Genomic DNA, 17,685 nt, shown 5'->3' on the forward strand with positions numbered 1-17,685 from the left:
CTAGCATGTGTGTGTGTGTGTGTGTGTGTGTGTATTTTTAGTAGAGATGGGGTTTCACCATATTGCCAGGCTGGTCTCGAACTCTGGACATCAAGTGATCTGCCCGCCTTGGCCTCCCAAAGTTCTGGGATTACAGGCATAAGCCATTGAGCCTGGCCAAACAGGGACAATTTGACTTCCTTCTTTCCAATTTGGATGTCTTGCCTAATTGCTCTGGCTAGGACTTCCAGTACTGTGTTGAATAGAAGTGGTGAGGGTGGATATGCTTGTCTTATTCCAGTTCTTAAAGGAAAAGCTTTCAACTTTTCCCCACTCAGTTTCATCTTGTTTGTAGGTTTATCATATAGGTATGCTCCTTCTATACTTTGTTGAGAGTTTTTATCATGAAGGGATATTGAATTTTGTCAAATGCCTTTACTGTGTCTATTAAAATGATAATATAATTTTTGTCCTTCATTCTTAATTTGCATATGTTAAACCATCCTTACATCACTGGGATAAATCCCACCTGATCATGGTAAATGATCTTTTAATGTGCTGTTGAATTCTATTTCTAGTATTTTGTTGAGGATATTGGCCTGTAGTTGTTTGTTGTTATTGTGCTTTTGTCTGGTTTTGGGATCAGGATAATGATCATTATCCTCCTAAAATAATTTTGGAAGAGTTTCTTCCTTTTCAATTTTTTGAATAGTTTGTGAAGAATTGGTATTAGTTCTTTAGATGTTTGGTAGAATTCAGCAGTGAAGCCATTGGGTACTGAACTTTTCTTTGATGGGAGACTTTGTATTTTTGCTTCAATCTTGTTGCTCATTGTTGATTTGTTCAAAATTTCCATTTTTTCTTGATTCAACCTTGGTAGGTTGTATGTGTCCAGGAATTTATCCATTTCTTCTAGGCTTTTCAATTTGTTGGCTTATAGTTGTTCATAGTAGTTTCTTATAATTCTTTGTATTTCTGTGTTATCAGTTGTAATGTCTCCTTTTTCATGTCTGATTTATTTCTGTTTTTCTTCTTTATTATCACTTAGTCTGGCTAAAAGTTTATTGACTTTTTTTTATCTTTTCAAAGAACTAACTAACTCATTATACTGATCTTTTGTATTTTTTAGTTTCTATTTTGATTATTTGTGCTCTCATCTGTATTCATTCATTTCTTCTAATAATTTGGGGTTTTGTTTGTTCTTGTTTTTCTAGTTCCATGAGATGCATCATTAGGTTGTTTATTTGAGATTTTTTTTTGATGTAGGCATTTATTGCTATAAACTTTTCTTTAAGGACTACTTTTGCTGTATCCCATAAGTTTTGGCATGTTATGTTTCCATTTTCATTTGTTTCAAGAAATTTTTTAACTTCTCCTTTAATTTCTTCATTGACCCATTGTTTGTTTAGGGGCATGTTCTTTAATTTCCATGTATTTGTACAGTTGTTCCTCCTGTTGTTGATTTATAGTTTTATTCCATTATTGGCAGGAAAAAAATACTTCATTTTAAAAAAGTTAGTTAAGACTTGCTTTGTGGCCTAATGTATAATCTCCTGGAGAATGTTCCATGTGCAGTTGAGAAGAATGTGAACTGTGTAGCTGTTGGATGGAATGTTCCGTAAATGTCTGTTTGCTCTATTTGGTCTACAGTGCAGTTCAAGTCCAGTGTTTCTTTGTTGATATTTTGTCTGGATGATCTGTCCATTGGTGAAAGTGGGGTGTTAAAGTTTTCTACTATTATTTCATTGCTGTCTTCATTTCCCCCTTGGTCTATTAATGTTTGCTTTATATTAGGTTGGTGCAAAAGTAATTGTAGTTTTTGCCCTTACTTTTAATGAGACTAGAAAATACAAAGATCAAACATTAATATATTTAGGTGCTCCAATGTTGGGTGTATATATATTTATGCTTGTTACATTCTCCTGTTGTATTAACTTCTTTACTATTATATAATGGCCTTGTTTGTCAATTTTTTTTTGACAGATTCTCGCTGTGTGCCCAGGCTGGAGTGCAGCGGTGCAATGTCGGCTCACTGCAAGCTCCGCCTCCCGGGTTCATGCCATTCTCCTGCCTCAGCCTCCCGAGTAGCTGGGACTACAGGCGCCTGCCACCATGCTTGGTTAATTTTTGTATTTTTAGTAGAGATGGAGTTTCGCCATTTGGCCAGGCTGGTCTCGAACTTCTGACTTCAGGTGATCCACCCGCCTCAGCCTCCCAAAGTGCTGAAATTACAGGCATGAGCCACCACGTCTGGCTGTTTGTCTCTTTTTATAGTTTTTGACTTGAAGTCTATTTTATCAGATATAAGTATAGCTATTCCTGCTTTCTTTTTGTTTACATGTGCATGGAATATCTGTTTCTATCCCTTCGCTTTCAGTCTATGTGTGTCCTTACAGGTAAAGTCTTTCTCTTAGGCAGTATGTAGTTAGATCTTTTTTTAAAAAAAAATTCATTCAGCCACCCTATGTCTTTTTTTAAATTTTTTTATTTTTATTTTTATTATACTTTAAGTTTTAGGGTACATGTGCACATTGTGCAGGTTAGTTACATATGTATACATGTGCCATGCTGGTGCACTGCACCCACTAACTCGTCATCTAGCATTAGGTATATCTCCTAATGCTATCCCTCCCCCTTCCCCCCACCCCACAACAGTTCCCAGAGTGTGATATTCCCCTTCCTGTGTCCATGTGATCTCATTGTTCAATTCCCACCTATGAGTGAGAATATGCGGTCCAAATGTCCAACAATGATAGACTGGATTAAGAAAATGTGGCACATATACACCATGGAATACTATGCAGCCATAAAAAATGATGAGTTCATGTCCTTTGTAGGGACATGGAGGAAATTGGAAATCATCATTCTCAGTAAACTATCGCAAGAACAAAAAACCAAACACTCTATGTCTTTTAGTTGGAGAATTTAACCCATTTGTATTCAAGGTAATTTTTGATAGGTAAGAACTTGGTAGTGCCATATTTTTACTTGTTTTCTAGTTGTTGTGTAGATCCTTTGTTCCTTTCTTCCTCTCTTAATCTCTTCCCTTGTGGTTAAGTGATTCTTCTATCAGTATGTTTTAATCCCTTGCTTTTTATTTTTAGTGTATCTATTATAAAAATTTTTGCTTTGTAATTACCATGAGGCTTACACAGAATACCTTATAGTTATAACAAGTTAGTTTGAACTGATAACAACTTAATTTTGATTGCAAGAAAATTTTTTAAAAAATCGACTCCCAAATTTTGTGTTTTTGATGTCATCATTTACATCTTTTTATATTGCTTATTCTTTAACAGGTTATGGTAATTATTTTTATCTGTTTTGTTTTTTAATCTTCCTACTAAGGATATAAGTGATTTATGTTCTACAATTACCATGTTAGAGAATTCTGAATTTGTCGGGATACTTACTTTTACCTGTGGGTTTTATACCTTCAGATGTTTTCATGTTACACATTAGGACCTTTTTCTTTCAGTTTGAAAAACTCCCTTTAGCATTTCCTGTAAAGCAGATCAGGTTGCAATGAATTTCCTCAGTTTTTTTTTGTCTGAAAATATTTTTCTCTCTCTTTCATTTATGAAGGATAATTTTGCTGTGTACAGTATCCTTGGCTGGCAGGTGTTTTTTTTTTTTTTTCTCTCTCTCTCATTCTCTCCTGGCTTGTAAAGTTTCTGCTGAGAAATTCACAGTTAGTCTGATAGCGGCTCCTTTACAGGTGACTATATGCTTTTCTCTTGCTATTTTTAAATTTTTTTCTTTGACTTTTGATAGTTTGACTATAATGTGCCCTGGAGAAGACCTTTTTGCATTGTATTTATTTGGGTATTTTTGAGCCTTCTTTATCTAGATGTCTAAATCTCTTGGTAGACTTGGAAATTTTTCATCTAATATTTCATTAAATAGGCTTTCTAACCTCTTCATTTTCTCTTTGCCTTCTGGGACACTGAAGATTCAAATATTTGGTCACTTTATAGTGCCTAATATGTCATGAAATCTTTGCTCATTTTTTAAAATTCTTTTTTCTTTATTTTTGTCTGATTGGGTTATTTCAAAAGATCTGTATTTCAGTTCTGATACTCTTCTGCTTGGTCCGGTCTATTGTTGAACCTTTCAAATCTATTTTGTATTTCATTCAATGAATTCTTTGGTTCCAGAATTTTTGTTTGGTTCTTTTTTGATATCTATCTCTTGGGTAAATTTCTCTTTCATAGCCTCAATTGTTTTTCTGTGTTCTTTGTATTTTTTTCAGAATTCTCTTGTATCTCACTGAGTTTATTTAGTATCAAAATTTGGAATTATTTTTCCAGGATTTCATAAATTTTTAAAGAGATGTTGGCCAGTTTACTTAAAAACCAATGGTCACATATACTGTTTTGCTTGTAAACTATGATTTTTTTATTTTGTGGATACATAGTAGGTGTATATATTTATGGAACACATGAGATGTTTTGATACAGGCATGTGATGTGAAACAAACACATCATGGAGAATGAGGTATGTATACCCTCAAGCACTTATCCTTTGAGTTATTAACAATCCAATTACACTCTTTATTTTAGAATGTACAATTAAGTTATTATTAACTATAGTCACCATGTTGTGCTATCAAATAGCAGGTCTTATTCATTCTTTCTATTTTTTTGTACCCATCTTAAATTTTTTTTATTTGGATCTCTTGCTACAGAATTATTGTGCTCCTTTGGAGTGTCATAGTTCCTTGATTTTTCATGTTTCCTGTGTCCTTACATTGATATCTGCACATCTGGTGTAATAATCACTTTTTCCAATTTTTAAAATTTGCTTTTGTAGGAAAGAACTTTTTCCTGAAGATGTATCTGTGGTGTTGCTTGGGTAGAGCACTTCGGTTTTGATTCTCGGTGAATGTAGTAGCCTCTGTATAAGATTCTAAACAGCATCAGTGATATTTGTGATTTTCTCAGTGGCTTAGGGTGTGGTTATTAGTGGAGGCTGTGGTGAAGTTTTTCTGAGAAGTGGGATGCCAGGTAGGCCTGTCTTCAGGCCCCAATGGTGGCAGCAGTGGGCTGAGTGTGCTTGTCTTTGGTGTACCATGGTGGCATATGATTGCACTGGTTTTAGGTCCAGGCAGGTTGATTTGTGGGCCTCCAAGTGGTTTACTTGGGTGCCAGAAGTGGTATTGATGGATCACATGGGTGGGTGGGTTCTCAAGTTCCTGGGCAGCAAAGTGGCATGGTTGATGGCAATCATAGCAATGAAACAACCTGAATCTCAAGTGGTCTGTGCTGGCGTTGGTTGTGGCTGCTATGGATCGCATGGCCAGTCTCCAGACCCTCAAGTGGTGCATGCAGTGAGTGCTAACTGTGGCAGTAGTGGCAGGTTGAGTGGGCCTGACCTCAGACCCCAGGAGGTGCTCAGGTGCCACCAGTGGTGGACAGGGCTAAGTGATCCCTAGGCCCCTGGATGATATGCTTGGGTACTGGGGGCAGGTAGAGCTGGGCTACGTGAACCTGCCCTCAGGCTCCTTGGTGGTGTGTGAGGTGCTGGTTGTGCTATGCAGGGGTGGGGTGATACCGAGGTCACTAGCAAAATGCTCAGGTTGGGGTGCAGCAGTAGCTGTGCTATAGCCCTGCTCTTGGTGAAGGTGGGGTTGCTTTCTCAGGGAGTAGCTGTAGGCAGGTAGCTTGGGAGCACAAGGTTCACTAGTGTTTTGGCCCCACAGCAGCCTGCAGCAGCAGTGGTTGTAGGTAGTGGAATTTGTTCTTGGAATATGTGAAAATGCATGGGCACTCCTCTGCTGGGTGGGGCAGGATCACTGCTCAGGGCTCCTGCCTAAGTCACGGCCATCATAGCAGGGCAGGATGTGTGGGCTGTGTTCTCAAAATGGTGCTGTGCTGCAGCTGCTTGGGAGAATTGCAGAATCCAGCGTGAGCTCTCTGTTGCAATGCCTTCACACGGTCTTTAGGCAACTCCCTATGCTAGTCTCTGTGCTGTCAAGGAATAAGGCGCTCTCCTGTGGCTAGGATTGCAAGAGTCCTTGGTGAAAATGAGGAACACTAAGGGTCTCTTACCTTTTCCCCACATTAGGAAGCTGTTCCAGACTCCCAGCCAATCCCAGGCAAACAGGCCTTATTTCTCTCTCCTCCCTTGCTTTCAATGCTTCCTGTCACTGCTCTGTTGAATTCCAGTGTTCTCTCTTAGATGACCTATTCAAAGTATAATTATCTACTTGCTACTTTGGTTCCTCTCCATGGAAGGGATGAACACTAGATGCATCTAGTCAACCATCCTGAAGCCCCTCCTGATTGTATTTTTGGATAACCTGTCTTTGAGCTTGCTGATCCTTTCTTCTGCCTGATCAATTCTGTTGCTGATGTCTTGTATTGCATGTGTCATTTTTTATTATACTTTTCAGTTCCAGGATTTCTGACTTTTTTTATTCCTTCAATTTCTCTGTTAAATTTCTTTGATAAACTTCTGAATTGTTTCTCTGTGTTTTATAAAAGTTTGTTGAGTTTTCTTAAAATAGCTATTTTGAATTCTTTGTCTACCAGATCATTCACCTGCATGTCTTTAGGATTAGTCACTGGCACGATTTTTTGTTCATTTGTTGAGGCTGTCTTTCTTAGGCTATTCTTATTCTTTGCAGATGTGCATCCCTGTCTACACATTGAAGAATTAGGTATTTATTCTCATGTTCACAGTCTGGGTTTGTTTGTGACTGCTCTATTTCAGTGAGCTCGTTTAGAAATTGAGTGGGGCTGAGTGTGGTGGCTCATACTTGTAACCTAGCACTTTAGGAGGCTGAGGCTGGAGGATTGCTTTAGGTCAGGAGTTCGAGACCCAGCCTGAGCAACATAGCAATACCCCAATCTTCCCCACCCCACACACAAAACCCGAAAATTTAGCCAGGCATAGTGGCACACACCTGTAGTCCCACTCTGGAGGCTGAGGTGGGAAGACCGTGTGAGCCCAGCCAGGAGTTCAAGACTGCAGTAATCTATGATCGCACCACTGCACTCCAACCTAGGCAACAGAGACCATATCAAAAAGAAAGTGAAAGGACTGGCTGTTGTATTTCCTTTTAGCACGAGAGGGCGCCCTGAGCCCAGGTTAGACGCAAGTCTCATGCTGGCTCTGCTACTAATTAGTGGAGATCCACAGAGGGCACTCAGGCCATACGGGAGAGTTTTCCGGTGTAAAAACCGTGGGTCCATGGTGACTTTCCGCCTGTGGTACTGCAGTGGCTTGCGGGTGGGGTCTCAGTCATAAAGAACCAATCCCCTTTATGTGCAACTATGGTTTTACTCGTCTTTGCAGTCCAAAAGGGCTTCACAGTCTTGCTCATGGGTTCAGGTTTTCTTAACTCTTCTGAAGGTAATTTCACGCATCGAGTTGTTACCTTGATGTTTCTGTGAGGAGATTATTGCTGAAGAGTCCTATTCCACCACTTTGCTCCACTCAGCATGCACTACTTAATCACAAGCAGGAGATGAAGGCCCGGAAAGAAGACAATAGAAGCCCAAACCCCTCTCCTCAACCTTTATCTAGTAGACCACAGTGTCCTTATAATTCAGCAGTCAGCACCTTTTCTTATAAACGCCAGATGGAAGAGATGCATATATAAGGAAGGGTATGTGGGAAGGGGCATGGGGCCAGCCACTCTCCAGGAACCTCCATGCGTTCAGCTACTCAGAAGCTCCTGATGGGCAATTCTAATATGAATATTTATCTCTTTTAATTCTTATCATTTTTCTATCATTTCTTGATGTTAAAATCTGCTTTAAAACACACAGTTGACTCTTGAACAATACAGGTTTGAACTGCATGAGTCCACTTATATGCAGTTTTTTTTCAATAAATATAGTGAGATTTTTTTGGAAATTTATGACAATTTGAAAAAACTGTCAGATGGACCACATAGGGTAAAAATATCAAAAAAATTAAGAAAAAGGTATGTTATGAATGCAAAAAATATATGGAGATGGCCGGATGCAGTGGCTCACACTTATAATCCCAGCACTTTGGGAGGCCAAGGCGGGCAGATCACGAGGTCAGGAGTTCAAGACCGGCCTGGCAAACATGGTGAAACCCCATCTCTACTAAAACTACAAAAATTAGGTGGGCGTGGTGGCACATGCCTGTAATCCCAGCTACTTGGGAGGCTGGGGCAGGAGAATCGCTTGAACCCAAGAGGGGGAAGTTGCAGTGAGCTCAGATTGTGCCACTGCACTCCAGCCTGGGTGACAGAACAAGACTCCGTCTCAAAAAATATATATATATACTTTGGGAGGCCAAGGCGGGTGGATCACGAGGTCAGGAGATCGAGACCATCCTGGCTAACACAATGAAACCCCGTCTCTACTAAAAATACAAAAAATTAGCCAGTCGAGGTGGCGGGCGCCTGTAGTCCCAGCTACTCGGGAGGCTGAGGCAGGAGAATGGCGTGAACCCCGGGGGGCAGAGCCTGCAGTGAGCTGAGATTGCGCCACTGCACTCCAGCCTGGGCGACAGCAAGACTCCGTCTCAAAAAAAAAAAAAAAAAAAATATATATATATATGTATACACACTTATATATACATATACATGTTGATACTAGACTATTTTATCATTTATTACCATAAAATATACAAAAATCTATTATAAAAAGTTGAAATTTATAAAAACTTACATACTTACAACCATACATGGCACCATTCCCAGTTGGGACAAATGTAAACAAACGTAAAGATCCAGTATTAAATCGCAACTGCATAAAATTAACGGTAGTAGCCATCTCCTATTGTTATTGTGCTGAGCTCGAGTGCTGCAGGCATCCACTGAAAACTCTGCATGATGCTAATCATCTCTGCATAAGCATTTCATCTCTCCATAAACTTTGAAGGATACTTGGGACCCGTATAAAGTGCCACTAGTGATGCTGGAAGTACTCCCAAGAAGCAGAGAAAAGTATAAATAACATTTTCCTTTCTCTAGCTTACTTTATTGAAAATATACAGCATATAATACATACACAAAATATTTGTTGTTTATGTTATTGATAAGGCTTCTGATCAACAATAGGTCATTAGTACTTGAATTTGGAGGGAGTCAAAAGTTATACATGGATTTTTGACTGTGCAGGGGGTTAGTACCCCAACCCCCACATTGTTCAAGGGTCAACTATATTCTCAACCACATTTTGTTTGACCTTATGAAAGATTTTATCTATTCTTAGTACTTTCTATTGAGTTTCTATTTTGACCATTGTGTTTATAATTTTTATGAGCACGTTTTGTTATGATTGTTTTTCATAGAATCCTATTGTTACCTTATTTTTAAGTTTCTTTTTATTGATGTAAAATATACATATGTAATTTGCCATCATTACCATTTTTAAGTGTACAGTTCAGTGGTATATATACATAATGGAATACTATTTGGCCATAAAAAAGAATATTTTCATTTGCATCAACATAGGTGACACTGCAGGGCAATACCACATGTTCTCACTCACATGTGGGAGCTAAAAGAGTGGATCTTGTGAAAATAGAGAGTAGAATCGTGGTTACCATAGTCTGGGGTGGGGAGGGTGGAGGTGATGAAGGTGCCAGTTGGGACAAATGTAAACAAACGTAAAGATCCAGTATTAAATCGTAACTGCATAAAATTAACGGTAGTAGCCATCTCCTATTGTTATTGTGCTGAGCTCAAGTGCTGGGATTACAGGTGTTCCAGTAAGTGGTCAGAGCCCTGCCTGTCCCAAGTGGGTGAGGTCCCAAAGGGATTATCATAGCAGTGTTGGAAGGCCAGCTAGTGATTCATGCCAAGGTGACCTGTAGGATAAACCTGCTACAGCATGGTGCTGCTGCACGGCCATTCTGAATTTGCATGTCTTTGGCCAAATTATAGAGCAGAATTTCCAGGGCTGGGGATGGTAGTCCTTCCTCCCTCATTTGTCTCTGCCTGTACTCTGGGATATTTCTGCCTTCAGACAGTCATGATGTTTTCTGTGGGTTAAGGCAAGGACAAATCTCCCCCCAGGGAACCCAAGAAGGTGGAGAAGCTGGTTGAACACCTCAATGTCACTTTTTCCAGTGTAGAAACCATGAGTTGAGGGGAGATTTTCCATACACTTGGTGCTGGGCAGAATAGGAGGAAGGAGAGTCATGGATGTGGAAGTCTGATTCTCAAAGTTTTTTCACTTCTCTGTGGCTCCGGGAACTGTCTCATCCTCACATGTGAGCTCTGGGTTGTTGTTGGTGTAGATATTGGTGCTGTATGTTTGGTTTTGGTTTTCTGTGAGAGGGAGTAAAGCCAGCCTGCCTCTATGCCCCTATTTTAAAACTGGAAGGCATCTTATTGTTACTTTATTGATGCAGTATCTTCTTGAATCTTTATGAAAATAGAAGTAAGAGCTTCCGATGAGTTCTGTTCTGAGCCATAGCTTTTTTTATTCTGGGATTATTATTTTCTTTGTTCATCTTTGCATATCCCTTCCATATTTTAGGTTCTTTTTAAATGTCTGTTCATCCTTGGTTGCCCACTCACATTTAAGAAAAGGAAAGAAAAATCTGACTGTGGGCTGTATGTACATGGGTAAGCCTTCATTTTCAGGTGACCAAAAGAGGAATTGCCTACTATACATTAAGATCCCCAGAGGCCAGAGATCTTCAAGTATTCAGTGGGCTATATCCTCTGAGATGCCGAGCTGTTTGTGAACTGAAGTACAGAACTCTGGTGCTGAATTTGGAAGACCCTGAGGATTGTTGAGCAGGTGTGTACATACCTGGCAGAGACCTGTTTACATAACCATTGACTGTGTGCATTTTAGGCCAGGCCCGAGCAGATGCAGCATCCCTATCCTGCATCAAGGAGTTCTTTGTTTCTGAGTGCCAACTTTTCCCTGATGAGAGAGAAGGCAAAGATAGAGTCAGCTAAGCATGTGTCTCATGAATGACCGCCTCCCCTTTCTCCTTCCCTGCTCCCAGTGTGCTCACACCTTAAGCATTTTTGTCAGCAAAGTAGGCACACAGCACTTATCCTCTCAAAGTCAGTGTGAGGGAGGGAGAAGATAATTATGTAAAGGCAGACATCTCTTGCTCAAACTGATTTTCTCTCCCTCCATTTGTCCATGACAATAAGTGGGAATGGATAATAATAGAAGACAGAATATTGGTTAGCTTGAGGCATCAGGATTCAATTCTTTTTATTAGCTGAATTATTTAAAAGAAAGCTTATGAAAATCATCCTAGGGGCCGGGCGCGGTGGCTCACACCTGTAATCGTAGCACTCTGGGAGGCTGAGGCAGGTGGATCACTTCAGGTCAGGCGTTTGAGAGTAGCCTGGCCAACATGGTGAAACCCTATCCCCACTAAAAATACACAAATTAGGCGGGCATGGTGGCATGTGCCTGTAATCTCAGCTACTCAGGAGGCTGAGGCAGGAGAATCACTTGAACCTGGGAGGTGGACGTTGCAGTGAGCCAAGATTGTGCCACTGCACTCCAACCTGGGCAACAGAGTGAGACTCGATCTCAAAAAAAAAAGAAAAGAAAAAAGAAAATTGTCCTAGGAAAAAGGCTGTCTGTCAGTCCCTGTCTCCGTTATAATTGCTTCATCCCAGCTTATATTTATGAAACCCCAGGAACCTGAAAGCTCCCTAACACTGTCTCTGAAATTGATAAGGGCTGAAGCACTGGAAATACTATTGAACAGTGACTCCCTGGAGTTACCCCTTTGTGTGAAGGACTGGTAGCTAGTGCTAAAACTTTATGAGGCAGCCATTCATTTGTTCATTCATTCAAACACATATTTATTGAGCACTACTAATTGTAGACACTGATGATAGAGAGGAAGATACAGCCTCTGCTTTCAAGATGCTTACACTCTAGCTGGAATCGTCAGAGAAGCTGATAATTATAATAAAGAGTAAAGAGTGATATAATAAAGATGAGAGTAGGGTGTTACAGGGAGCAGAGAGGAGAAGAAATTTCACTTTGCTTGAAGGGAAAAAGATATGAGATCAAAGAAGATAAATATTAAATAAAGTAGAAAATACTGATATAGTATGATAAGGAATAAGCTCAAGATGCTGTGGAAATATAAGCAGGCATCTAATCCAGACTAGAGGTCATCCTGGGAGAAGGAATTAAGGAAGGGGATAACTGAAGTAAGTCAGACTTAAAGAAAAAGGAGAAGCTTACTTAGTGTAAAGAGGGAGACAGATTTTTCCAGGCAGAGGAAACTGCATATGCAGAGGTCTCATGCAAGAAAAAGCATTACATATTTGGGTGACATGGAAGATAAGGCAGGAAATGGAACACAACAAGGCTGGAAATGTCACCAGAGAATAGATAATGCATTTTGCACTTTACCTTGAAATTGAATTATTTTATTTGTTTTGTTGTTTGAGATAGGGTCTGGCTTTATCACCCAGGCTGGAGTGCAGTGGCGCAATCACAGCTCACTGCAACCTTCACCTCCTGGGCTCAAGTGATCCTCCCACCTCAGCCTCCCAAGTAGCTGGAGTACAGGTACCCGCCACCATGACCGGCTGATTTTTTAATTCTTTTGTAGAGATGTGGTTTCGCCCTGTTGCCCAGGCTGGTCTCAAACTCCTGGGCTCAAGCAATCTGCCCACCTCAGCCTCCTAAAGTGCTGGGATTACAGGCATGAGCCACCGAAACTGGCAAACTGAAGTATTGTAGAGGCTAGAGTGACAAGATCAGATACTCACTTCAGTAAGCTTCCTTTGAGAGTTATGAGACAGATCATGAGGGCCTCAATTAAGAAGATGGCAATGTAAATTGATAAGGGGGCAAGAAGAATATTATGTTACTATGATTACATAGTGATTACATTAGGAGGAGGAGGAAGAGGCGGAGGTACTAACACTATTGAGGGCCTACTCTATGCCACACAGTGCTCTAGGTTACTTAAGTGAAATCACTCAGCACTCACAACAATCTTATGAAAAATGTACTATTATTTCCATTTAGGAAACCGAGACACAGAGAGGTTAAATAACTTGCCAAAGGTTGTGCACTTAATAATAGATGAAGATAAGAGAAAGTATTTAGAAAGTAGAGCCCAAAGTATTTGTTGACAGTCTTAATGAGGGGGATGAGGCCAGTCCGTTATCCAGCTCCTCTATCTTCTTACCTCATAGCTGCCAGTGGAACTGAGGTTACGTTTTGTTTTCTTGGAATTCATTTTTAACCCCATCTCCTTCATTCCTGAACAGTAATGTAATTTATGATCTTTCTATAATCACCTCCTCTTAATAGTAGCAGAGGATTTCTTTCAGGAATCCAAAATTCAGATTAAGACTCACTAACCTTCATCAAATACAGCAAAAAGTAGTATAAATTTGTGCAAGGTCTGTGTCTTTTCCTTGGCCAGACTCCCTGAAAAAGAAGTGAGAACATTTATCTTCTATTTAAAAAATCTCATTGTAGGAAATTGTCACTAGGAGGAGACAGTTCTTCATCAGTTACTTGACAGTAAGAACAAATGTAGTCTTCTGTCTCTTGATAACTTGGCTTTGATGTCAGGTCTCCTATAGCAGTGTTTCTAAAACTATCTGGAGCAAAGAATTTTTTTATTTCAACTTTGATGAAGACCACTACTTGTGTAAAATATGATAAAAATGAATTACTAAAGAAAAAAATTAAAAACACTTACAAAATACAAGCCCTCACACACTGTGTGATAATAGTGAAATTATAGATAATTTCTGTTACTCTTGTAACTTTTTATACTTCTGCAATTGTAAATTAAAAGTTTTGAGTAAAATAGCAATTGTCCATATTAAACATCTATACTCATGATTTTTTTTCAATAGCCCACAGTGCTTCTAATTATACTCACATTTTAAATAAATACCGTGTATATCGATAGCTGAAGTTTTTAATGGAACAAACTAGCTTGTTTCATGCTTTAACTGTTGAGCTTGTTGGCTATCTTTCTTAGAATTATATATTTTTTAAATTTGACTGGAAACTTTTGTTTACAGGCTTATTTTGAGTAGAAAGATTTTTGTTTATGACATTTTGCCGTTCTTTCTCTCTCTCGCACCCTTAATGCTTAGAAATAAAAATTAGCTTGGACTAAGAAAGCAACAGTACGTGTGCTGCTACTCATCAGGCTGGGATAAGAGACATAGATAAAGCTAACTGCAGAGTTAACAACACCATTTCTCCCAAGGACACATTGCCACTGTATAAACTCACTGAATGCCAACTATTTGCTTTGATTATCTCTTGCTTTCTTACTCAATTGAGTTGTTTGTTCTCTGAATTCACAGCCTGCCAGAAATGTTTGAACTAATAGCAACAAGAATGAAACATCTCATTCTTTCCTAGGTCATCTAAATTACTTTGACACAAAGAAGCAGCTCAATTTAAAGCTCAAGCTTCAGGTAAGGGGTGCCTTGACTTAACCTTTCATGTCTATGTTAACTTTTTAGAACACTTCACAGTCTAGACCTCATGGTTATTTCTTTACACACAACTCTACTTTGCTTCATTTAAATATCACCTAACCTCCACCCTTCCCCAAAATTCTTTACTAACTCTATACAGTATTTCCCTTTGTTTAGGGAGGTGTCCACAGTCTCTTGTTGCCATGAGCCAATAAATCTGACTTTGTTGAACTATAGTGATCTTTGCTGTCCCTTGTGATCATTGGTTGATTAAGCAAAGGATGTGTTCACTATTCTCTATCTAGCAAATCATACCCTAGAATGGAATTTTGGAGATACTGGCCAATGGAAACCTTGGGGATATTGCAGATTCCCCCACTGAACCAAGAAAACTTAGTTCAGTTCCTATTCTAGGACTGGGTTTGCTTTCCCCTCTTCTAGGACTCTGAGTTTCCACAAAGCCATGGCCCTAAACAAAGAGTGAGCAGCAGCTGTGCTCAGCTCTCTTTCAAGTGAAGAAGAGCCCAACTCTATGATATGGGCTCTCAGTCCCTCTGGTGGGGAGCACTATTTATCCTTGTCATCCTGACTCCTTGGCTACCGCAGCTGGCTTCCTGACCCAGATCTCAGTTGGCCTGTAATTTCCACCCCTTTTACTACTCACAGTTCCTGTTCTGCTTCTGGTCCACAAATATTTATCTTCTTTTTCAGCTGACCATGCCTATTCGATTTTCTCTATTTATGGTTTACCTATCTTTGTTGTTGGTTTTCAGCGAGGTTGGGGTTGAGGTGGAGGATGGAAAAATGGCTAAGTAGGAAGACCCTGTGCCATCTTTACCAGAAGTACTGGATTAAAAACTTTAGAGACACATTTAAAATACGTATAAAGCTGTCTTAAAACATTCTAATTACTTTTATATAAATTTTCAATTATAGTGAAATTGACTTTTTCTTTTGGTGTATAGGTCTATAACTTTTAACAAAGATATAAGCTCATGAAACCCCATCATCGTCAAGATACAGATCCATTTCAATATCCAAAAAGAACTCCCTCCTGCTATCCCTCTATAGTGTACATCTAATTTCACAAGAAACTGCCAGAGACTGTTTCTCTACCAAGCAGCAAAACTGCCATTCTGTTTTCCAGAATGGCTATACCATTGTGCATTGTGAAACTTTCTGTTGCTCTGAATTCTTGACAGGATTCTTGGCAATTTTATATTATTATTTTAGCTATTCTAATAGATACATCACTGTTGATTGAATTTGCATTTCCCTAATGGTTAATGATGTTGAACATCTTTTCATATGTTTGTCCATATAACTCTTGCTTTATAAAAGACACCATTAAAAGAATGAAAAAACAAACTATAGAGTGGGAGAAAATATTTGCCAATCACATAACTGGCAAGGGATTTATATCCAAAATGAATTTCATATTCAGACTTAAGTTCCATCCCCAAGCTATCTCATTATATATGTGCAAATATTCCAGTATCTGAAATCTGAAACGTTCTTGGTTCCAAGCATTTCAGGTAAGGGATACTCAATCAGTATTTTGCATGCAGATATTCACCTGTTTCAGCACTGTTTATTGAAGACACTATTCTTTCCCCTATTGAATGGTTTTGGCACTCCTGGCAAAAATCAATGTTGTGATTACAGATTTGTACTACTTCAACTTTCTTCATATTCATGTTTGCATCATATATCCTTTTCCATCTTTATGCTGGTAACCTACCTATATCATTTTTTTGAAATGAGTTTCTTGTAAACAACATATAATTGGTTCAAGCTTTTATATCCAGTATGCTAATCTCTGTTTTTAATTGGTGTGTTTTAGCCATTTGCACTTAATGTAAGTATTGATATGTTTAGATTTAAGCCTATCATTTTATTATGATTTTACTGCTTCTTCTCTCTGATTTTCATCTCTCCTTACTTGCCTTCTTTTGAGTTATTTGAATATTTTTGATATACCATTGTAATTAGTTTATTGTGACTTTTTACTGTGTCTCTTGGTATAATTTTTTATTGGTTGCTCTAGGGATTACAAAATACATACTTAACCTTTCACTATCATCTACTTAGAGTCAACATTTTACCATTTGAATTGGAATGAAGTTGAATGGACCATAAAGTTTTCCTTACCCTCCTCTTGTTATGCTATGATTCTTTTATGTATTGTATCTACCATACATTAAAAAACCTATCTCACAATGTTCTATCTTTGCTTTCAGCCATCAGACATGTTTTAAGGAATTCTGTGGGCGTTAGTTTCAGATGAAAGTATGATTTCTCATATACTGAGTTCAGTTTCATAGTCATAATTAATGAGAAAGTGCCAAAACCACAGTGTGTTATTTATGGGACGTAAAGGCTAATGGAACATGTTGAAGACTGTGAAACTGAGATTTCCCCTCAAGCACCAGACTGGCCACTGCGTTGGACTCAATGGCACTGCAAGGGGTTTAAAACAGATCTGACACTGAAACTACATACCTGGATGTGTAGGTTGGGGGTGAATCCAGGAGTTAATGCACAACTTTATGGGTTTACTTTCCTGGGATCTTTTCTCTCTGTCATCTATAAACTTTCCAGTTCTGTGAGCTCCCTTTTTTGGTTTTCTAACCAGAAGCTTCCAATTTCCACAACTACATCATAGCTAAGGTCAAGCAATGGAAGGGGAAAGACAGAGAGAAAGTAATGTGCTTTTCCCCCAATGTCTTAGATCTGTAGCTGTACTGAATGAAGAATAATGTTCCCCTCCCTAAGTTTTTACTCCGGCAGGTTTCTGTTGCCAGCCACTGTCATTGCCACAGGCAACCTGGGACTGAAGCTTGAGAGAATGGTGGAAAAGAGGACAAAAACCCTAGGGGATTTCCCCTCCCACGCTCTCTGAGCATTTAGAGTTACCTTTCTCACTCCTTGAAACCCCAGAGGGTTTGTCCTGGAGCTCTCTTTGCAACATAGTACTCACTTCGAAGTCTCCAGTTATGTTTTAATTCAGGTTAAGGAATACTAGAGTGGGGAAAAAGGTATACTCCCCCACAAGTTTGGTAATACTTTCAATTCTAGTGTCTTTTCTCTATATACTTGTTCTATTTGCTTTTTAGAAATTTTTAAATATCTGGGCTTTGCATTTTGTCAAGGTTTTATAGTTAAGTTCAATGGGAAATAAAGGGTGGAGTGTGTTTATCCATTTCACCTGGAACTAGAACCTCTGTAGACTCTTTAGTTCAACTCTGTGTCAAAGAATCATTTGGGTTTTTAACTTATTTCTTTATATGTCATATGTAAACACTAATGTTTTGATGATCTCA

General features: G+C 39.0%; 1 protein-coding gene across 1 annotated transcript in view, besides 2 other annotated features; it reads right to left on the bottom strand.

Moving 5' to 3' along the window:
- F8 (coagulation factor VIII) overlaps nt 1–17,685 on the bottom strand; it is a 186,932-nt gene that overhangs the window by 138,168 nt on the left and 31,079 nt on the right. The window contains exons 5-6 of the mRNA NM_000132.4: nt 13,278–13,346; nt 10,728–10,844 (exon numbers count right to left, since the gene is read on the bottom strand). Coding sequence (NP_000123.1) covers nt 10,728–10,844; nt 13,278–13,346 — 186 coding nt within the window. The remainder of the gene's footprint in view (nt 1–10,727; nt 10,845–13,277; nt 13,347–17,685) is intronic.
- Nucleotides 6,951–7,000: an enhancer, noted in NCBI's record as "active region_30072". NCBI's record gives its function as "activates an Ori minimal core promoter by ATAC-STARR-seq in GM12878 lymphoblastoid cells {active_cell/tissue: GM12878}" and the evidence as "EXISTENCE:reporter gene assay evidence [ECO:0000049][PMID:35858748]".
- Nucleotides 7,101–7,150: an enhancer, noted in NCBI's record as "active region_30073". NCBI's record gives its function as "activates an Ori minimal core promoter by ATAC-STARR-seq in GM12878 lymphoblastoid cells {active_cell/tissue: GM12878}" and the evidence as "EXISTENCE:reporter gene assay evidence [ECO:0000049][PMID:35858748]".

Source organism: Homo sapiens, chromosome X (assembly GCF_000001405.40).
Source record: "Homo sapiens chromosome X, GRCh38.p14 Primary Assembly".
Classification (NCBI taxonomy): domain Eukaryota; kingdom Metazoa; phylum Chordata; class Mammalia; order Primates; family Hominidae; genus Homo; species Homo sapiens.